Consider the following 23,163-nt stretch of genomic DNA (forward strand, 5'->3'; position numbering starts at 1 on the left):
CAAGATGCACTGAGCACAGTTAGAAGAGCATAGTTCTAACTGAGCAAGTTAGAAGAGCAGAAACTTCTGGCCTGGGGCTGGGGTAGTGGAGAAGAAAGTAGAAGTGACTAGAGGTACACAGGGCATTTGGAAAACTTGGTAGCAAGGAGCTATTTCTCACCTGAAGTGGCAGTAGAAACCCACTTGTTTGCTTTGCTTTTTTTGTTTGTTTGTTTCACTCCAGGGTAGAGTGAGTACAATGGCATGATCACAGCTCACTGCAGCCTTGACTTCCCAGACTCAGGTGATTCTCCCATCTCTGCCTCCCAATGGCTACAGTGAGTATGCTCATGCCACTGCACTCCAGCTTGGGTGACAAAGCAAAACCTTGTCCTAGAAAAAAATCTTAGAAAAGAAAGAAAATGATGAGTGGGTGTTAACACAGGTGTTGCATGGATGTTCACAACACATCCTAAAAGCAACCTAGCATTCAAAGAAATGTCCCCAAGGTGCAAATATCTTTCTGGCTCTGTCCCCTCCTCCATAGAGGCATCCCCAAGAAATGATCGGCCTGGCATTCCCCAGGGTGGCTGCCCTGGGAATGTCCCCTCCAGGCCTACCTCTGGCTCACGCAGCCACCGCTACCTCCTAGGAAACGGAGGAACAGTTCTAGCTCCTTCACTCCCAAGGCAGGACAGGCCCAGGGTGGAGAAGGGGTCTGGATCAGCAGGATTCCCGAGACATGTGCTCTAATTGCGGGCTGCAGACTGAAGGTGCCCCATTGTGCCCAGCTGCAAGCTGGAAGGAGCAGCAGGAGGAGGTGAAACAGAACTGATTGTTAAAACGCTCCTTCGCCCTCCTCCAGGAACATTCCCAGGGGAATCTTCCCAGCCTCATCTGCTCATACCTCTGGCCAGATGGGCAGGTGTTTGTCTGACAAACTCTGTTGTTCAACAGCTCTCTTTGTTAAATGATTGCATGTACTCAGGGATCTGACAGTTGTCTTTTGTTCTTTTTTAACAACAGTATTATTGTTATTATTATTTGAGACAGGGTCTCACTCTGTCACCCAGGCTGGAGTGCAATGTCACCATCATAGTTCACTGTAGCCCCAACCTCCCAGGCTCAATCCTTCCACCTCAGCCTCTCAAGTAGCTGGGACTACAGGCAAGCATATAGTCAGTAGCCACACCTGGCTAATTTTTGTATTTTTTGCAGAGATGAGTCTTACCATGTTGTCCAGGCTGGTCTCGAACTCCTGGGCTCCATCTACCTCAGCCTCCCAAAGTGCTGGGATTACAAGCATGAGCCTCCATGACTGGTAATAACATTATTAAAAATACATTTTTATTTGTAGTTGTAGAAAAGTAGTAAGCATTGTGTTTGGAATCTTGTCTGTGAGTGGTAAAAGCCTAAATTACATTGCATTAAGAAAAAGTAAATACATATAGGCTCACATAATTGAAAAGTCCATGGGTCTCTGCTTCAGGTATGGCTGGATCCAGGAATTCAGAAGATGAGATCTGAACTCTAAGTTCTCTCTCTCATTTGTCTTCCCTTATGTTAGCTCCATTCTCAGACATACTTGCCATACAGTGTCAAGATGGGTGCTAGAAACCCTAGATATGTGTACTGTCTCTTAGCACTCCCCTCACCCAAAGAAAGAGAACTTCTGTCTTACAACTATCTCAAAACCCCAAATTATTGAATGGGCTTGCACTGGACATACTTAGGTCATGGGGCTTTTCTTGAACCAATCACTGTGGCCAAAGGAATGAAAACATTGTGGGTTGCCAGGCCTGGATTTTGTGTGTACTTCTGAATTGGGAGAGCAGCCCTCCCCCTAAAAGTCACATTAAAAGAGGAGGGTAAGGAATGATTGCCCAAGAGCCACCAGGGTTTAGCACAACAATAGATACCCCATTCCACACTATAGAAAACTGGGCATTTCAGAAAAGCACAAAGAAGAAAATAAAGACCAGCCATTACTCCAGCAGTGACAGGCTTCCAGGAGATACCATCTGGGCTCTCTTTTCTTACATGGGGTATCTCAAGCCAGCTCAGAGGATTTTCTAACCCAGCAACGTGAAAGAGATTCAAGTACAAACTTGAGAAAAAGAAGAAAAGCAAAGGGAGTTTTGGCAAGACAGGGAGGCTGGCTATCTGTGGTTGCCTGCCAATCTTCTGCAGCCAGTCAGTCCCCAGATCCCTGCCAGCCTCAGAACACACTTCTGCCCCCTGAATACCTCCAGCCTCTGAATCATCTGACATTAACTTGTTCATCCATTTTCCTTCCATTCACATTTCCATCCATTCATCCATTCATCCACTCACTCTTCCACTCACATATCCATCCATCCATCCGTCCGTCCACTCACTCATCCTTTCACATATCTGTTCATCTATCCACTCATCCATCCATCCATTCACATAACAGTGCATCCATTCCTCCATCCATCCATTCACATATCCATCCATCCATCCATTCATCTACTCACTCATCCATTCACGTGTCTGTCCATCCATCCACTCATCCATCCATTCATTCACATATCCAACCATCCACTCATCCATCCATTCATTCATCCACTCACTCATCCATTCACGTATCCATCCATCCATTCATCCATCCATCCATTCACATATCCATCCATCCATTCTACTACACATGTATCCTGTAATTATTTTTTACATTTGATCTTAGCCAAAAGGCCAAGAAGCGATCCATAATTATTTTTTAAGCCCTGAAGTCAGACTACCTTGTTCAAATCCAAGTTCCAACACTTATTAGCTGTATGACTCTGGGCCAGTTTCTTAACCAGTCTCTGCCCCAGTTTTCTCATCCATAAAAGCAGGTGGAGGCAGGGGTGGGTAATAACAGTTTTTACTGCCTAAGCTTATTTTGAGGATAAAATGAGATAAGGTTGATTCTGAGCACTTGGCAGAGGGCCTGACTCATGAAAGATCCTCAGCAGAATATTTTAGTGTTGGGCTTTTGTTGTTGTTTTTATAACATTAGGTATTTACCATGCATCAGACATTAGTAAGCCTGCCTACAGGCAGCTGAATGGGCTAAGGTTGGGTAAGCACTGCCAACTACAATTTTTTTCCTCTGCTGCCCTAGAGGCAGATGCTGTAAAGAACTTTTAGGACCACAGGGAAATGTCCTCTGGGATCTTCTGGTTTTTAAAGCTGCTATATCTTGAACTTTAAAATAATAGTAATAAATGCAACTCAGGCTTTGTAACTCCTGAAGATCCTCAAGGGAGTTTTCTGGGGTCTGCTATTATTGACTTAAACTTTCGGGCTTAAGGCTGGGCACCTGAAAAACAACCAAACTGGACATCTAAGGAGCCCCCACATTCATGCAGATCTGGGGAGTAGGGCAGGCAAATGCCAGCCCACCCTCAATGGACAGTTTATGGAAATTGATGGCCTTACAGAATATCTTGGGAGTCAAGGGAGTGTCCTCATCACATCCTCCCTTGGTGCAGAGATGTTGAAAAAGAGACGAGGATTTAGGAGGTCACTAGCTCCTTCTTTAAGTGGAAAACTGGATATGGCTTTCTGGGCCATGGCTTGAGATCTTAGAATAATGTTCTTGGCCTTGGCGAGGGATGGATACAGCTCATGAAATAAGGAGAGATTATGATGGCCATGGGCCAGCCAGCATGCACCAGGGTCTTTACACTGAGTATGAAAGGAGGGAGAGAAAAAGGACAGGATCAGAGCTTGGCATGGGGCCTGAGTCGAGGGTGAGCCAATGGCCAGAGGAGAGCCCAGTGCAGTCAGGATCAGGGGTCAATCTGTGGTCAGGATCAGGGTTAAACCCGAATAAGGGCCAGGTTCAGTTCGTGTACAGATCTCTGGTCCTGATGGTCCTGCCTCAATGTCAGGCTTTGTGTGGAGGCTGCAGTCTGCTACCTTGTCCATAGGCTTCCTCAAGGTGACCTTGACATTTTCCCAGGCTGTCTCTGCCACTTCCACTGCACTATTTACAGCCTTCCTCCTTTGAAGCCCCCAGCACCAACATACCACTTCTTTCACCCTTGCCAACACCACCCAGCATCATCCAGGACCGTTTACATCCCCCGAAGACTTCAGCCCCTGCTGCCCTGTTTGCTCCTTACATTTAGGCTTTTTTTTTTTTTTTTTTTTTTTTTTGAGATGGAGTCTTCCTCTGTGACCCAGGTTGGAGTGCAGTGGCACCATCATAGCTCAGTGAAGCCCCAACTCCTTGGGCTCAAGCGATTCTCCTGCCTCAGCCTTCTGAGTAGCTGGGACTACAGGCATGGACCAGCATGCCAGGCTAATTAAAAGAAAAAAAAATTTTTTTTAATTTTTTGTAAAAATGAGTTCTCACTGTGTTGCCAGGCTGGTCTTGAACTACTGGCCTCAAGTGATCCTACCGCCTTGGCCTCCCAAAGCTCTGGGATTACGGACCTGAGCCACGGCACCGAGCCTTATTTGTGCTTTTTCAGGTGTGGCAGACACCCCAGCTCACACTGGTTTTGGTAAAGAGTGGGGGAGGGGGTTATTGTGACTCACTTAACCATCTAGATGCATCCAGGTTTAAGGGCAGATGGACGCAATGTTCAGTCATCAGGGTCCCATCCATCGCCCTCCTCCATTCCCCTGATCTCCTTAACTTTCTTCTGAGATCACTTCTCTCCACAGGGTGCAAAGATGGCCTCTGACAATCACTCACCCCTGACAACCACTCACCCTTCTAAGCCTCTACTGCTTTTCCAGCTCATTCATATCTAAGAAAACGAGATCCTCCTTCAGCCTGCATTCATATATCAAACCCAGCAAGGGATTCTGATTGGTCCTGTTTGGGTCACATGCCCAGCTTTCAACCAATCACAGCAGTCAGAGGATGACACTCTCATTGGCCATGTTTGAGTCATGTGCCCATCCTGGATAAAGGTGCGTGCCACCCACACCATGTGGATTCCCCGAAGAGCAGTGGCCGAGCAAAGAAGCCCAAGTCCTCATCTTGAGCAAATTGTACTTGAATTCTGAATGGACCACTCAATCAGGAGACCTAACAATTCTTTGAGTTTCTCAACTCCAGTAACTTTCCTCTTCAGTCTTTGGTAGCCACACATTCCCAAAGCTACACCTTTGATTTGAAATACCTCCCATCCCTCCACTTTTTTTTTTTTTCTTTTTGAGAGGGAGTTCGCCCTGTGGCACAGGCTGGAGTGCAGTGGCAAGATCTCGGTTCACCACAACCTCCACCTCCGGGGCCCAAGGGATTTTCCTGCCTCAGTCTCCCGAGTAGCTGGGATTACAGGCTCCCTCTACCATGCCCGACTAATTTTTTTGTATTTTTAGTAGAGACGGGGTTCACCATGTTGGTCAGGTTGGTCTCGAACTCCTGACCTCAAGTGATCCACCCGCTTCGGCCTCCCAAAGTGTTGGGATTACAGGCGTGAGCCACTGCGCCCGGCCCCCTCCACTTTTCCTACTTTTGTTCTCTACCCTCTTTCTTGACCCAATCGGAATCTCCAGACCCCCTCGGCCTTCCCTAAACTCCCAGCTCATCCGCCCTCTCCATCTTGTTTCTATAGGAGACCTAATAGTCAAACACTTTAGCCATGCATTCAACACCTCCCTACAGTTTCACCCTTGCAACCCTGGAACAGTGCAAATGGGAGTTTCTCTCTTTCGGCTAGTGGGCTCATTAGCCCCGCTGGGGAAAATTGTGTAATTATACCAATTGATCAGTTACACATTTATGGTTACAGCAGTTACTTAGCATAATGCTTCTCAAACTTTGATCTGCATATGAACCATTAGGGATCCAATTTAAAATGCACACTCTGATCTGTTAGGTCTGGAATGAGGTGTGCAGTTCTAACCGGCTCCCAGGTGAGGCAGAAGCTACTGGACATTGGCCTGGCGCGGTGGCTCACGCCTGTAATCCCAACACTTCGGAAGGCTGAGGGAGATGAATCACCTGAGGTCAGGAATTCGAGACCAGCCTGGCCAACATGGTGAAACCCCGTCTCTACTAACAATACAAAAATTAGCTGGGTGTGATGGTGGGCACCTGTAATCCCAGCTACTCGGGAGGCTGAGGAGGGAGAATTGCTTGAACCCTGGAGGCAGAGGTTGCAGTGAGTCAAGATCCTGACATTGCACTCCAGCCTGGGTGACAAGGGCGAAACTCCATCTCAAGCAAAGCAAAACAAAATAAAAAAAGAAGCTACTGGTCCTCAGAGCACACTTTCAGCGGCCAGGGTTCAGCATTCCTTTACCTTAGTGTCCCTCAGACACTCCTCAAGAACCTGGGGTGCTTGTTAAATATGAAGATATCAGATCTCTTCCATGGAATTTCTGACTCAATATATAGGGGTTGGAGGCCAAAAGGGCTCCTTAATTTTAACAATTTTGAAGTGACTTATCTCCTGGGATAATTGGAAAACAGTGTTCTTTCATGTAATTTGATTTGCATGTCTCATTTTGGATTCCAGAACTTCTCTGCCGTTCACAATCCCCACCCTTTGCTCATCACCATAAGCCTCAGCAGGTGAGCTGGCCCTGACCTTCCAGAGAAAACTAAGGTGTGTTGGCATGAGTGAAACTTCACTTATATCCCCTCTTATCTTTATTCTTTTCCCTCCAACGTTGGAGAAGGGGGTGCCTCTTCTACCCTATCCCATTCCCACCCGCTGTTCATCCCCCTTGTTATCCCACGGCTCCCCTCCTATTTTTTTTTTTTTTTTTTTTTAGAGGGAGTCTCACTCTTGTTGCCCAGGCTGGTGGAGTGCTGTGGCACAACCTCAGCTCCCTGCAACCTCCACCTCCTGGGTTCAAGCCATTCTCCCGCCTCAACCTCCCAAGTAGCTGGGATTACAGGCGTGCACCACCACACCCAGCTAATTTTTGTATTTTTAGTAGAGACTGGGTTTCACCATGTTGGCCAGGCACCCACCTCACCCTCCCAAAGTTCTGGGATTACGGGCATGAGCCACCACACCCAGCCTGCCTGTGAGACATTTCTATGTCATAAACTTTTTTTTTTTTAAGAGGTAGGATCTTGTTCTGTCACCCAGGCTGGAATGCGGTGGTGTGACCTTGGCTCACTGCAGTCTTGAACTCCTGGGCTGAAGCAATCCTCCCACCTCAGCCTGCAGAGTAGTTGGGACCGCAAGTGTGTGCCACCACACCCAGTTAAGTAAACTTATTTTAAACACAACTTTTTTTTTTTTTTTTTGGAGATGGAGTTTCGCTCTTGTCACCCAAGCTGTAGTGCTATGGTGTGATCTCAGCTCAATGCAACCTCCGTCTCCCAGGTTCAAGCCATTCTCCTGCCTCAGCCTCCTGAATAGCTGGGATTACAGATGTGCACTGCCCCACCCAGCTAATTTCGTATTTTTATTAGTAGAGACAGGGTTTCACCACGTTGGTCAGGCTGGTCTCGAACTCCTGACCTCAAGTGACCTGCCTGCCTCAGCCTCCCAAAGTGCTGGGATCATAGGCGTGAGCCACTGTGCCTGGCTAAAAACTTTTCTTAAAAGGCTTTTTGGGCCAGGCTCAGTGGCTAACACCTGTAATCTCAACACTTTGGGAGAGTGAATCAGGAGGATGGCTTGTGCCCAGGAGCTCCAGGCCAGCCCTGGCAACATAGCAAGACCCTGTCTCTACAAAAAAATACAAAAATTAGCTGGGCATGGTGGCATGTACCTGCAGTCCCAGCTACTTGGGAGGCTGAGGTGGGAGGATCACTTGACCTGGGAGGTTGAGGCTGCAATGAGCGGTGATTGTGTTACTGCACTCCAGCCTGGACGAGAGAACAAGACCCAATTTCCTTAAAACAAACAAACAAACAAAAAAGGCTTTTTGCTTTAAATCAGTTTAGCTCTATGGATGAATTGCAAAAATAGTATGGACAGTTTCCGTATACCCTTTACCCAGTTTCTCCTGATGTTACTGTGGCTTAGAGAGCCGTGGGATGTTTGTCAAAACTAAGAAATGAATGTTGGTACAAAACTTTGAACCGAACTATAGACTTTATTCAGTTTCACCAGTTTTCCCACTAATGTCCAAAAAGTGTGTGTTTTAAATTATACAATACCTTCATTCATCATTCTTTTAAAAATTAGAAAATACAAATATAAAAGAGAAAAAAACCCACAGTCACCAAAATCCACGATCCAGACACAACTATAGGTGACATTTTGCTTTTCTCTTGCAGTGTTTACCCATGTAAATATGTATATATATACATTTTTTTTACAAAAATATGCTCACCCTGTCCTACAATCTGCTTTTCCCACTAAATTGTGTATCATAAATGGCTTTTCATGTTGGCAATTATAGCTCAAGATCATAATTTTTATCATATTAACATTTTTATTTTAACTTTTTGATAGGTAATAGATTCACATGGTTCAAAATACAAAAGGTAGAAAAGAATATTTAGCAAAAATCTCCCTCCCATCCCCATTTCCCACTCACCAATCCTTTCCTCCAACACACGATTGTGTAGGTCAAAACAGGTTAAAGCTGAGAGCAAATTCTGGGATGAATAAACCATTATTTCACTCAGCCAATCCTCTATTACTGGATACATAGGTTGTTTCTATAGGTATATGTTATAAATGACACTTTGATTCACCACTGCCTTTGCCAAACTATTTCCTTAGGATAAATTCCTACTGGAGCAGCCAGGTCAAAGAGTTTACACTTTTTTGGGTTGTTGTTGTTGTTGTTGTTTTTGAGACAGGGTCTCGCTCTGCTGCGCAGGCTGGAATGCAGCGGCACGGTCTTGGCTCACAGCAACCTCCGCCTCCCAGGCTCAAGTGATTCTCATGCCTCAGCCTCCCGAGTAGCTGGGATTACAGATGTGCCACACCACACCCAGCTAATTTTTGTATTTTTAGTAGAGATGGGGTTTTGTCATGTTGCCCAGGCTGGTCTTAAACTCCTGGCTTCAATTGATCCTCCCACCTCGGCCTCCCAAGTTACTGGGATTACAGGCGTGAGCCACCGCACCCGGCCTAGAGCTTACGCTTTGAGAAGAGAGAGTCCTTTTATTCCAAATTGCTTTCTACAAAGATTACACACCACTTTGGCTGCCCAGGCTATCAGACTGTACCAAGCAGATAAGTCACAGTGTTGTCCTTTTAATCTGCATTTCTTTTGTAACCAGAAAGGTTGGGTCATGTTTATTCCATTATCTATGAACAGACAAATTTCTTGGAAGTTGATCTCAGATGGCTACCTCCCCTTATTCACCCCACATTGACTCTTTTACTCCTTACAGTTTGGGATCCACTCCATCCCGCCCCCACCAAGATGCCCCAGCAAAAGGGCCACAAAAGCATCCAACCAAATGGGCCCTTCCCAGCCTCATCCTGTTTAATTTCCCTGCCACCAAACATTAGAGACCAGGCCATGCCTCTGTCCCTGAGCCTCTTAGGCCAGGCCATCCTTCTAAAAAAAATGTATAGTTGTTAGACGAAGCCTGTTTTTTTGTTTTGTTTGTTTTGTTGTGTTTTGAGATGGAGTCTCACTCTGTAGCCCAAGCTGGTGTGCAGTGGTGTGATCTCAGCTCACTGCAATCTCCACCTCCCGGGTTCAAGTGATTCTCCTGCCTCAGCCTCCCAAGTAGCTGGGATTACAGGCACGTGCCACCACACCTGGCTAATTTTTGTATTCATAGTAGAGACAGGGTTTCACCATGTTGGCCAGGCTGGTCTCGAACTCCTGACTTCAGGTTATACACCCGCCTTGGCCTCCCAGAGTGCTAGGATTATAGGCATGGGCCACTGTGCCTGGCCCAAATTCACAATTTCTTTAATCCAATTTGAGTTTTGACAATATGCAGTCATGGAACCACCACCACGACCATAATATAGAATATTTCAGTCCCCTAAAGTTCCCTTGCACCTCTTTGCTCTCAAGCCCTCCCTACTCCTACTCCCTAGCAACCACTAATCTACTTCTTATCACTATGATTTTGCCTTTTCTAGAATTTTCTATAAATGGAACTGTAACAGTCAATCTGTATGAGTGCAGCAACCTCAATTCTTGCCTCCTCGGAAGAAAGAAATCATCCAAAGGACATAAGGTAGAGTGACAGACCAAGGCAATTTTTAGAGCAGGAGGGAAAGTTTATTACCAAGCTTTAGAGCAGGAACAAAAGCAAGGAAGGTACACTTGGAAGAGGGCCAAGCAGGCGACTTGAGAGAGCTCAAGTGCATGGTTGGACCTTTTGACTTAGGGTTTTATATGTTGGCATACTTCCAGGGTCTTGTATCTGTTCCCTGATTCTTCTGTTAGGGTGGGCTGTCTGCATGTACAGTGATCTGCCAGTGCTTGGGAGGGGCTGCATGCATACTGTGTTTACTGGAGTTGTACATATGCCTACTTGAGGCGTTCTTCCCTTACTGGCCAAATGTTCCTAGAAGGCCATATATCAGTTAAACTCTGCCATTTTGCCTGTTAATGAGCATGCTTGAGTCCACTCGCTCAACTCCCAAGAGCTTATTGGGAAGATGCTCTTCACTAGTTTCAGGTCTTTCTATCTATTGGTAGACTGTCTTTCCCTGGCCCTGGCTGTGACCAATTATTATTTTAGAGAACAGCTTAACAGCTGCCTGACCATCACCTGATTGTCGCCTGACAGTCCTGGTCTGTGGATCGGGGGGAGCCCTCTCCTGCCCTGCTCATGTCTGCCTGCCTACTGTAACAGAAGCATACAGTATTTGGGTGTTGTGGGGTTTTTTGTTTTGTTTTATTTTGTTTTGTTTTTAGAGACAGGGTCTCGCTCTGTCACCCAGGCTGGAGCGCAGTGACAGGATCTTGGCTCACTGCAACCTCCACCTCCCGGGTTGAAGCAATTCTACCTCAGCCTCCCAAGTAGCTGGGATTACAGGTGAATGCCACCGCGCCCTGCTAATTTTTTGTATTTTTAGTAGAGACGGGGTTTTGCCATGTTTGCCAGATGGGTCTCGAACACCTGACCTCAAGTGATCCACCTACCTCAGCCTCCCAAAGTGCTGAGATTACAGAAGTGAGCCGACGTGCCCAGCCAAGGTTTCTGTTTCTGGATTCTTTCACTTAGTATAATGTAAATGTTTTCATTTAGCGTAATTCATCAATGTTGTTCCGAGTATCAGCAGTTCATTTCTTTTTATATCATTGTATGGATATACCAGTCTGGCTATCCATTTCCAGGTTGATGAACTTTGGGGTGGTTTCAAGTTTTGGGCTATTTTGAAGGAAGCTGTTAAGAACATTCAAGTACGTAGGTTTTTATTCCTCTTGGGTCAATTCCTAGGACTGAAATTGCAGGTCACTGTGAAGGTGCAGTGGGTGCATGTTTCACTTGATAAGAAACTGCCATCTTGTTTTCCAAAGTGATCGTACCATTTTACATTCCCACCAGCAGCACATGAAAATTCCAGCTGCTCCACATCTTCACCAGCACTTGGTATTGTCAGCCTTTATCATTTTAGCCACACGAATAAGTATGAGGTGGTATCTCATTGTGGCCTGAATATGCATTTCCCTAATGATGATGTTGAGCGTCTTTTCCACGTGTTTATTTGCTACTTGTGTATCTTCTTTGATTAGAATTTTTAATTGAAATAAAATGAGGTAGGCCAGGTGCAGTGGCTTATACCTATAATCCCAGCACTTTGGGAGGCCGAGGTGGGAGGATTGCATGAGGCCAGGAGTTTGTGACCAGCCTGGGCAATGTAGCAAAATCTCATCTCAACTAAAAAAAAAAACAATTAGGTAGGCCAGGGGCTGTGGCTCATGCCTGTAATCCCAACACTTTGGGAGGCCAAGGCAGGGGCATTACTTGAGCCCAGGAGTTTGTGACCAGCCTGGGCGACATAGCAAAACCCTGTCTTACAAGAAATTAAAAATTAGCCAGGCATGACGACAGGTGCCTGTAGTCCCAGCTACTCAGGAGGTGGGAGGATTGCTTGAGGTCAGGAGATGGAGGCTGCAGTGAGGTATCTTCATGCCACTGTGCTCCAGTCTGGGTGACAGAGACATTGTCTAACAAAAAAAAAAGAAAAGAAAAGAAAAAAATAGGTTAACATAGTCCCATGGTTTTAAAATATTTAAAAATACAAAAGGGAGAAGTAAACTCCTTCCTTTCCCTGATAACCCTCTGAGGGCAGCAGCTGAGGAAACTGAGGAACAGGCAACTTTTCCCAGGTTACAAAGCTAGAAAGTGGTGGAGCTGGGATTTAAGCCAAGGCAGTCTGGCTCCAAAAAATGGATAGACCCTTATCCATTTTTACATCAATGGTAGTACACCATTTTCCATCCTGTTACTGACTTTTTCACTTCAAATGTCTTAGGTATTGGCCTGGCAGTGGCTGTAATTCCAGCACTTTGAGAGGCTGAGGTGAAGGGATCACTTGAGCTCAGGGGTTTGAGACCAGCCTGAGCAACATAGCAAGATCTCATCTCTACAAATACAAAAATATTAGCCAGGCCTGGTGCCGCACACCTGTAGTCACAGCTACTAGGGAGGTGGAAATGGGAGGATGGCTTGAACTCGGGAGGTCAAGGCTGCAGTGAGCTGACATTGCGCCACTGCACTCCAGCCTGCGTGACAGAGTAAGACTCTATCTCAACAACAACAACAAAAATCTTGGGTATTTTTCCATATCAATTCTTATTGGGTGACCTTATTTGTTTTGGTAATCCCATATGACAACCACTGAAATGATGTGCCATAACTTATTTGGCAAGTCCACTATTGACAGACATTTAAATTCTTTCCAACCCTTTGCTACAACAAATAATGCTGCAGAGAATATCCTTGTGCGAACCTCCCTCTATGCATGTGTAGGTATATCTGTCCAATAGATTCCTGGAAGGAGAATTACCAGGCCAAAGGGTATGTGTCTTCACTATTTTAGATTACCTATTTCCCCACATCCTCTCCAACACAGTGTTAAACTTCACCATTCTTGCCAATTGGATAGCTTTAAAAAAAAGCCCATAGGAGTTGAGAATTTGTGTCCACAAAAAAAACCTGCACACAGATATTTATTTATAGCAACTTTATTCATAATTGCCCAAACTTGGAAGCAACCAAGATGCCCTTCAGTAGGTGAATGGATAAATAAACTGCTACATCCAGATGACAGAATATTATTCATCACTAAAAAGGAATGAGCTATCAAGCCATGAAAATGAAACAAGGAAACATAAACACATATTACTAAATGAAAAAGACCAACCGGAAGAGGCTACATACTATATGATTTTAACTATGTGACAGGGGGTAGTGGGAGGAAGGGATGAATACACTGAGCACAGAGAATTTTTAGGGCAGTGAAGTTACTCCATTATGATACTATGATGATGGACACATATCATTAAACATTTGTTTATTTTATTTATTTATTTATTTATTTATTTATTTTGAGAAGGAGTCTTGCTCTGAAACCCAGGCTGGAGTGCAGTGGTGTGATCTCGACTCACTGCAACCTCAGCCTCCTGGGTTCAAGCAATTCTCCTGTCTCAGCCTTCCAAGTAGCTAGGACTACAGGCACACACCACCACACCTGACTAATTTTTGTATTTTTAGTAGAGACAGGGTTTCACCATATTGGTCAGGCTGGTCTTGAACTCCTGACCTTGTGATCCACCCACCTCAGCTGCCGAAAGTACTGGGATTACAGGTCTGAGCCACCATGCCAGGCTGTCATTATACATTTGACCAAACCCATAGAATGTGCAACACCAAGAGTGAACCCTAATGTAAACTATGGACTTGGGTGATCATGATGTGTCAATGTAGGTCCGTCAACTGCAACTAATGTACCACTCTGGTGGGGGTTGCTGATAGCCGGGAAGGCTACGCATGGGGGAGGAGAGGGATGGGAAATATTTGTATTAATACTTTCCTCTACATTTTGCTGTGAACCTAAAACTGCTCTAAAAAAATGAAGCCTCAAGTAGTTCTTTTGGGGGGTAAAATTAAAAAAATAAAAAACAAGAAAAACAAAACCTTTAAAAAAAATGGTACCACTTCATTTTTTGATCATGTATTTCTTCCATCATGAGTGAGGTTGAGTATGTTTCATGTGTTTAAAATTTAATTGCATTTCTTTTCCAGTGAATTAAAGGTCTCCTTCAGATGTCTGGTGGTAGAACATCTAGCCCCTGGCTTTTGTCTTCCTTCTCTGATTTTTTTCTCTTCCTTCCTTCCTTCCCTCCCTCCCTCCTTCCCTCTTTCTTTCTTTCTCTTTTCTTTCTTTCTTTCCTTCTTTCCCTCTTTCCTTCCTTCTTTCTTCTTTCTCTCTTTTTTCTTTCTCTTTCTTTCTCTTTCTCTCTTCCTTTCTTCTTGCCTTCCTTCCTTCCTTTCTTCTTTTCTTTTCTTTTCCTTCCTTCCTTCTTCCTTTTCCTTCCTTCCTTCCTCCCTCCTTCCCTTCCCTTCTCCTTCTTTCCTACCTTCCTTCCTTTCTCTCTCTTTCTCTCTTTCTCCCTCTGTCTCTCTTTCTCTCTTTCTTTCTTTCTTTCTTTCAGGGTCTTGCTCTGTTGCCCGGGCTGGAGTGCAGTGGTGTGATCATCATGGCTCACTGCAGCCTCAACCTCCTGGGCTCAAGCTGTCATCCTACCTCAGCCTCCCAAGTAGCTGCGGCCACAGGAGTGTGCCATGACACCCAGCTAATTTTTATATTTTTAGTAGATAGTGTTTCGCCATGTTGCCTAGGCTGGTCTTAGACTCCTAGGCTCAAGCAATCCTCCTGCCTTGGCCTCCCAAAGTGCTGGGATCACAGGCATGAGCCACCGCACCTGGCCTTTCATGTCTTCTTTTGCTGACTTCTCTTCTTTTGCTTTCCCTCCCCAAATAACAATTCTTCATGCTTTTCTTTTTAGTTCTCTTCTCATTCTACTTTATACTTCTGGGCTATCTTGTCCCTACCTACAACTGCCATTGTCCCCTCCTTATTTACAATTCTAATTCTACATCTTCATGTGACTCTATATGAAGTTCCAAATCCACATTTTAATTATCTTCTAGACATTTCTACCTCAACACCCCTCAAGCACCTTTAAAAAGTCTCTATGTTCAAAACTAGACTTAGTTTCTTGCCTGTCCAAATCTGTTCACCCTCCCAAAACGTCAACTGGCAGCATCTCCATCTACCCAGTTTGTCAGGCAAAACACCTACAAGTTAGCCCCCTCACTCTCATCCAGTCAAAAGAAAAAAAAAACACAAAAGTCAGCCCTCACCCCAAATCCAGTCACCAAGCCTTACATGTTGGACAGGCTTCAAAAGAGAGTTGGTCTAATGGATTGGACAAGAACCGTAATTTAGACACCTCAATTTTGGCACAAAAGTCTCAAAGAGCCCATCGGCAGCTCTTTTAAACCTTCTGTGGTCTACATTCCTCTCCACTTGGTCCCAGGATAATTTTTTTATAGCTAAATGTAGCTTTTCGATGATATCTGGGTAACTCATTTTATCTTAGGATGTTTCACTGTAATTAGGTATGACTGGCTAGTGCTGCGATTCCTGGCCTTCTCACATGGGTGATGGCAGCTTTAGGCCTCATCTATAGAGATGTAGCATGTTAGGGGAAACCCAGCTGTTCTGTGCTGCAACGCAGTCCAGGAGAAGTCTGGGTAGGTCAGCTGGGCACGGTGGCTCACGCCTGTAATCCCAGCACTTTGGGAGGCCGAGGCGGATGATCACTTGAGGTCAGGAGTTCAACACCGGCCTGGCCAACATGGTGAAATGCTGTCTCTACTAAAAACACAAAAATTAGCTGGGCATGGTGGTGGGCACCTGTAGTCCCAGCTACTCAGGAGGCTGAGGCAGGAGAATCACTTGAACCTGGGAGGTGGAGGTGCAGTGAGCCGAGATTGTGCCACTGCACTCCAGCCTGGGCGACACAGCGAGACTCCCTCTCAAAAAAATAAATAAATAAAAATGTAAAAATAAGAAGAAATCTGGGTAGGTGCTGGCCCAGGACCTACTGGCTACTGGCTGGCACAACCAGAAGTTCTAAGACGTAGGGGAAGATGTACATCTAAAAGGAAGCAAAACTTTGCTCCTCTCATCCCCTTTAGATGCATTGAAAATAATTCCCAGGTATTAGTCCCGTTTTCACACTGCTAATAAAAACATACCCAAGGCTGGGTGATTTATAAAGGAAAGAGGTTTAATTGACTCACAGTTCAGCATAGCTGAGGAGGCTTTGGGAAACTTACAATCATTCATGGTGGATGGGGAAGCAATCACAGGGCAGCAGCAAGGAGAAGTGCCAAGCCAAAGGGGGAAAAGCCCCTTATAAAACCATCAGATCTCATGAGAACTCATTATCATGAGAATAGCAGCATGGGGATAACTGCCCCCATGATTCAATTACCTCCCACCAGCTCCCTCCCACGACACGTGAGGATTATGGGAACTACAGTTCAAGATGGGATTTGGGTGGGGACACAGCCAAACCGTATCGACCAGCAATACTACAGGATAATAATAATTCCCATTTATTAAACTTTTACCCTATGCCAAACAGCAGGCTCATGTGCTACACACATAATCTCATTTAATTACCACAATGTGCAACAGAGCAAGACTCTGTCTCAAAAACTAATAATAGTTATTATTATTATCACAAACTAACAATAATATTATTATTAGATAATAATAATTATTATTATTATCACAATGACCCTATGAGGTACTAGTCATATATCCATTTTAAAGAAAAGGAAACTGAGGCTCTAAGAACTTTTTGTTTTTGGAAACAGGGTCTTGCTCTGTTGTCCAGGCTGGAGTGCAGTAGTGCAACCACAACCGACTGCAGCCTCAACCTCCCGGGCTCAAGTGACCCTCCTACCTCAGCTTCTCAAGTAGCTGGGACCACAGGCACACACCACCGTGCCTGGCTAATTTTTGTATTTTTTGCAGAGATGGGGTTTTACCATGTTTCCCAGGCTAGTCTCAGACTCCTGAGCTCAAGTGATCTGCCTGCCTTGGCCTCGCAAAGTGCTGGGATAACAGGTGTGAGCCACCATGCCTGGCCTTCTGATAACTTTTCTGTAACCTTCTTGAGTCTCCCAGGCTGACTGCAAAGTTTATAGGCATAAACACTTCACTGCATTCCAGAATAATGGTTCACTGGTGCAAAACTCTAGCCATGGAGGTCTCAGCCTCCATGGAAACAGACACACTGTTTTCCTTTGGCTCTCTGAGATTTCTTAGCACAGCATCAGAGGGTCTGCACAATGACCAGCCCTGGCTCACTCTTCGTACGATGGTCCCTGTGAGGTAGTTCCCACTGCAGGCCAACCCCAGGGCACGAGCCCAGGTTGGCAGGTCTCAGCTCCCTCCACCTATGACTCTCTTGCTCCCTGGGTCTGCGGTGAAGCCCCAACCACTGGTGTTCCAGCATTCTTCCTGCTCACCCAGCCACCATCTCAGGCCTGGTTCCCTGAAGCTGGCCATAAATCCTTCCAGTGAATATTAACTAAATAATCTGTAACAGGCACTGGGCAGGAGAGAAAAACAGTGTTAGTACTCACATATACTTGGCTCCGTTTTTGAATGAATGAATGAATGAATGAATGAGCAGTGTCCTTGCTCTGTAGACTACAATCTACAGGGGAAGACAGAGTTCGAATTCCAGAAGATGAGCTCTATGACTGGCAGAATATGAGAAATTCTAAGAGCACAGCATAGGGTGTCTACTTGCAGAAACTTCCAGGGCCATTTCCTGGAGGAAGCAGGGTTTAAGCTGAGACTTGAGGCATGACTTGGTTGGCCAAGTGAAGGAGGATAAAGGAAAGGGAGAACCAGGTTTATCAAAAGAGAAAAAAACCTCTGCCCCACAGATGGAAAATAAGGAAGGGTGCCCTTTAGACCAGTCCAGAAACATTTAGGAATTTCTGCAAGATACATTGAGTTTAAACCATATTGAGAGTAGACCTGACGAACCATGGTGTATTCCAAGCAGGAGAAAAGCCCATTCAAGTTGGAGGTAGAAGGAACCAAACATTCATTATGATCCCTGCCAGTTTCAAGGGGATAATAGTGGACCATGGATGCAGTTTATAAGGAAGCAAAGCTTAAGCCTGCTAAAGTATCCACCAATGCCTCTTCACACTAGGAGATGTGCTCAATTAAGCAGGTTCACCCCCAAGCACAGCCCCCTGATAAGGCCAGCTGGGCTTGTTAAAGAAGGTGTTGTTTCTTCAGTTAAATCTGACTGCTAAAACAAATGTGGACACACAAAAAGACATCTGACACAAAGGAGAGATACACGGTCACATTTGCCCTGGGCTGACACTTCCCCACTAGTGCCACAGATTGCTGACTCTTTACTAAGGCAAAGTAAAGGTATAGTAAATATAAACTTTCCCCTTCTTTCTTTGTCCAGGCCAAAAATATTTAGACAGACTGTTTAACCCATCTTAACACTCAGTGTTGAACAAATAAAGACCTCCTTCTGTAAAAATGAGCAAATAGAGAATAATGACTGAACACATACAAAGATCTAGCAGGTCAAAAGGATATTGACATGAGGAATTAGAGCAAATGTTCCTGGATATCTCACCCTTGCTGCCCAGAGGCCAAAATTTAAAAGAAAAAAAATGGTTACTTTGTAATATTCATAAGATTAGAGGCTATTGACTCTCTAAAGCAGTTCTTAGAAAATAATCCTAGAACATAAAAGTATTCTACAGATAAAAATATATCTATGGAGTCTAAAAAGGCAACAGAGGTACCTAACAGAAGATTGGATGTTGCCTGAAATTAAGTCAGTGAGTCTGAAGAAACGATTTAAAATTTTTTCTATGCCTAGATCAGTAGCTCATGGCTGTAATCCTAGCAGTTTGGAAGGCTCAGGTGTGAGGATCACTTGAGAACAGGAGTTTGAGACTAGCCTGGACTATATAGTGAGACCCTGTCTTTACAAAAATTTAAAAAATATAAATTAACTGAACATGGTGGTGCATGCCTGTAGTCCTAGCTACACAAGAGGCTGAGGTGGGAGGATTGCTTGAGCCCAAGAGCCCAAGACTGCAGCGAGCTATGATCACGCCACTGCACTCCAGCCTGGGTGATAGAGTGAGACCCTATCTCTAAAAAGAAAAAAAAAAGAAGAAGAAGAAGAAGAAAAGAAAAAATTATTCTAAAACTCAGAGAATGAATGAGAAATAAAAAAGATTAGCAGATTGGAGAAGACATTCAAGGGATGGACGTGCATATAATTGGTTCCCTAAAAGAGTAGAACAGGAGCATTAGAGATTTATTGTAAAGAATTGACTTACATGATTTTGGAGGCTGAGAAGTCTTATGATGTGTGTCTGCAAACTGGACACCCAGGAAAGCTAGTGGTGTAGTTCCAGTTTGAGTTCCAGAAGAAGAACCAATGGTTTAAGTTCCAGTCCAAGTCTGAAGGCCTGAGTACCAGGAGCACCAATCACTTAAGTCCCAATCCAAAGGCAGGAGAAGACCAATGTTCTAGCTCAAACAGTCAGGCAGAGAGATCACATTTTCCCTTCCTCCACCTTTTTGTTCTATTCAGGCCTTCAATAGATTAGATGATGCCCCATCCACAGTGGTGGGGCAGTGAGAAATCTACCATGTCAAGTCCATCAATTCAAATGCTAATCTCATTGGGAAACATCCTCTCAGATACACCCAGAAATAATGTCTAGCCAAATTTCTGGGCACCCCATGGTCAAGTCAAGGTTATAAATAAAACGAACTATCACACACAGTCCAACATTTCCACAATATCCTATTGGTTACACAGATTGGCCCTATTCACTGTAGGAGAGGATTATACAATGGCATAAATACCAGGAAGCAGGAATCACTGAAGATCATCTTGAAGGCTGATTAGCACAAACCCAAACTTAGATTCAACCCTAAACCCAATGCTATGCCTAACCCCTGAAACCTCAATCTAAGTGGGAAATGAAATGTAGTGTGTGTGTCTATGTGTGTGCATACGCATGTGTGTGGTGAGGTGCACTGGGACATGGTGCTGGGAAAGGAACTGAAGGCCAAATAATGGGCAACTTGAAAGTCAGGCTAATGCATTTGAGTCTGATTCTCCAGACAGTTGGTGTCATTGAAGGTTTTTGAGCCTGGGAGCAATATGACAATATTGGTTTCAAACCCGCAATCTATGAGCAGTGTGGCACATAACAGATGAAGGAAGACAGTGGTGGCAGAGGATCAGTTAGTTACTGCAATGATCCAAGCAAGAGTTTCTGAAGGTCTCAACTATATCAGTGACAGTAGGAGTGGAGAGGCAGTAATACCTTCATGAGAGATTTACAAGTGAGAGCCAAACAAAGCCAAAGTCAAAACCAAGTGTTGGCCAAGTGCAGTGGCTTATGCTTATAATCTCAGCACTTTAGGAAGCTGATAATTTGAAGGATAATTTGAAGCCAGGAGTTTGAGACCAGCCTGGGCAACATAGGGAGACCCCATCTCTAAAAAATATTTCTGTTGTGGTTGTTGTTTTTTGTGTTTTTTCAGAGATGAGGTCTCACCATGTGGCCCAGGCTGATCACAAACTCCTGGCCTCAAGCAACCCTCCTACCTTGACCTCCCAAAGTGCTGAGATTACAAGCATGAACCACTGCACCTGGCCTAAAAATTTTTTTCTAACTAGCCAGGCACAATGGCATGCACCTGCAGTACCAGCTACTTGGAAGGCTAAGACAGAGGATGACTTGAGGCCAAGAGTTTGAGGCTGCAGTGAGCTATGATTGCACCACTGCACTTCAGCCTGGGTGACAGAATGAGACCCTGTCTCCAAACAAACAAACAAACAAAACCTAAGTGTTAATTCTCCTTGCAAACCTTTCCCATACCTCAGACCTAACCACAACCTTGGCCTTGACCTAAACTCCAACACCAACACCATAACTATTGTATTCATCAAAAATGCTGTAGTGACAAGAGACAGCAACCCAATCCAAGCCATTATATGTTAAAAAGGTAAATTTTTGTACTGTATAACTAAAAATTTCAGAGAAAGATGAATCAGCCTTTAGGCATGCCTTAATCCAGGGGGTGAAATGATCTTATTAGGGCTATCTCTCTCTCAGTGCTTCAGAAAGTCTCTCTTAGTTTCCATGAACAAGATGACCCTAAGCAGCCCAAGACTCATATTCTGGAAGCTTGGCATCCCCAGAACAAAGAATCTCCAGTGTCCAAATGCTGAATCCATTCCTAAAGTAATCACCATAGCCAGATTGGTGAAGGCCTCTGATTAGCCAGGCATGTGTGTATATCATTTTAAACTACATACATAGTATCAAACTATACATATGCAAGCTTTAAATTATGTCCACAAATTCTTTGGCACTCTTTTCTTTCAAAGGAGGAGTCTAGTTCCTATTCCCTTAAGTGTGGACCAAACTTAGTGACTTATTCTTAATGAATAGAATATGGTAGAATTGATGGTGTATGACTTCCAAGGTTAGGTCATAAAAAACATTGTCACTTTCATCTTGCACTCTGTCAGACTGCTCCCTCTGGGGGTAGTCAGCTACCATGTCATGAGGATACTCAAGTAGCCCTGTGGAGGAGGCCCACATGGAGAGGAACTCAGGCCTCCCACAAGTGATCAGCATCAACTTGACAGCCTTCTATATAAGCCAACTGAGAAATGGATCCTCCAGCCCCAGTCAAGTCTTCAGATGACAGTAGCCCCAGTTGACATCTTCATGGCAACTTTATGAGAAACCCCCAACCAGAACCTCCCAACTAAGCTACGTCTGAATTCATCACTCACAGAAACGATGAAGATAATAAATGTGTCTTGTTGCTTAAAGCCACTAAGTGTTGGGATACTTTGTTATATGTCAATAGATAATTAATACACATATCATTTTGCATCATGCTTTTTTCACTTAATATTTTGTTGCTTGGCTCTCTCATATTGATATGTGTAGATTGGGTTATTTATTCTAATGGCCACAGCCACATTTTATTTATCTATTCCCTTATTGCTAGACTTCTAGGTGGTCTCCCGGGTTTTTTAAATTACAAACTGTGCCATAACGAACAGAGTTGTGCATATGCATAGGAGCTTTTTGGGCAACATATCAAGGTTTTTCTGGATAGTACCAACTTGTTCTCCAAAGTAAATGTCCCAAGAAATTTTCCCACTAGGTGTATTTGAGAGTAGCATTCCTCCCACATCCCTAAAAGCACTGATATTTTCAGAATCTCAAACTTGTTGCCATGCCAAAGAGTGAAAACCATCTCATTGTTCTAATTTGCATTTCCCTGATAACTGGTGAATATCCCCACACTATCTGGCCATCCGGAGCCCTCTGCAGTAATGGATGCAAAGCTCATCGGATACTCCAGGGGTCTTCATCTCTTCATCTCCCAAGGAATCTCCCATGATCCTCCATCCCTTGGGCAAATTGGGTTCCTTGTAACTGGCCTGATGGAATACCCAGAAACGCCTCAGTTGGCCAACCATTTTCAGAAAGAATGTGGGCTCCGGACCGCAGTCTGGACTCACCCAGTTGTTCCAGGATGGAGGCCCAGCTCCACTCTCTCCCTTGCCCTTAGGAAGTGTGGCAGCAAACGACAAGGGGCAGCTGCCAGCCGGCTGGGACCTTAGCCAGGGTACAGAGTCTTCCAGAAAAAGCACCCAAGATTTCAGCCTTCTGGAGAGCATCCCAGTGGGGCAAAGAGGAAAGTAGAGAGAGGAGACATCAGCAAACTTCCCAGCCTCCACTTCAGGCATGTGCTAGGACTACATGCCCCTCCTCATGCCCTGAGGACTGGCCAGTGGGAACACAGAAATAGAGCCTGGCCTTGGATTTCCCTCGGAGCTGGGCTCTGGGACCAGCCCAGGCCTCAAGCAGGACCTCTCTGTTCTCAGCCTGAGCCACACCATGCTAGCAACTTACTTGGCCATCCCACCATCCTGGGACTCTTCCCCCAGCTTCAGGAACCCTGTCTGGTGTCTGCAGCATGGGGCACTATTTACCAGAGATCAGTCATTTGCAAAGCACCCTCATAACTGTATATCATATCCATATGCCACTGCATAATTACTTAACATTAAAAACATCTACTGAATTTTTCCATTTAAACACATTAATGGTAAAGGGAAAGTTATAGTCCTAACCAGCATCAGTATTAGTTAGTCCTATTAAACACCATCCTCTGTTGTCTTTGTTTAAAAAAAAAA

The 23,163-nt window shown here is 44.7% G+C and overlaps 1 annotated feature.

The window, feature by feature from the left end:
• Window positions 599–893: a silencer, noted in NCBI's record as "tiled region #8546; K562 Repressive non-DNase unmatched - State 21:Repr". NCBI's record gives its function as "represses a minimal TATA promoter and a strong SV40 promoter by Sharpr-MPRA in K562 cells {active_cell/tissue: K562}" and the evidence as "EXISTENCE:reporter gene assay evidence [ECO:0000049][PMID:27701403]".

Source organism: Homo sapiens, chromosome 16 (assembly GCF_000001405.40).
Source record: "Homo sapiens chromosome 16, GRCh38.p14 Primary Assembly".
NCBI classification, from domain to species: Eukaryota; Metazoa; Chordata; class Mammalia; order Primates; family Hominidae; genus Homo; species Homo sapiens.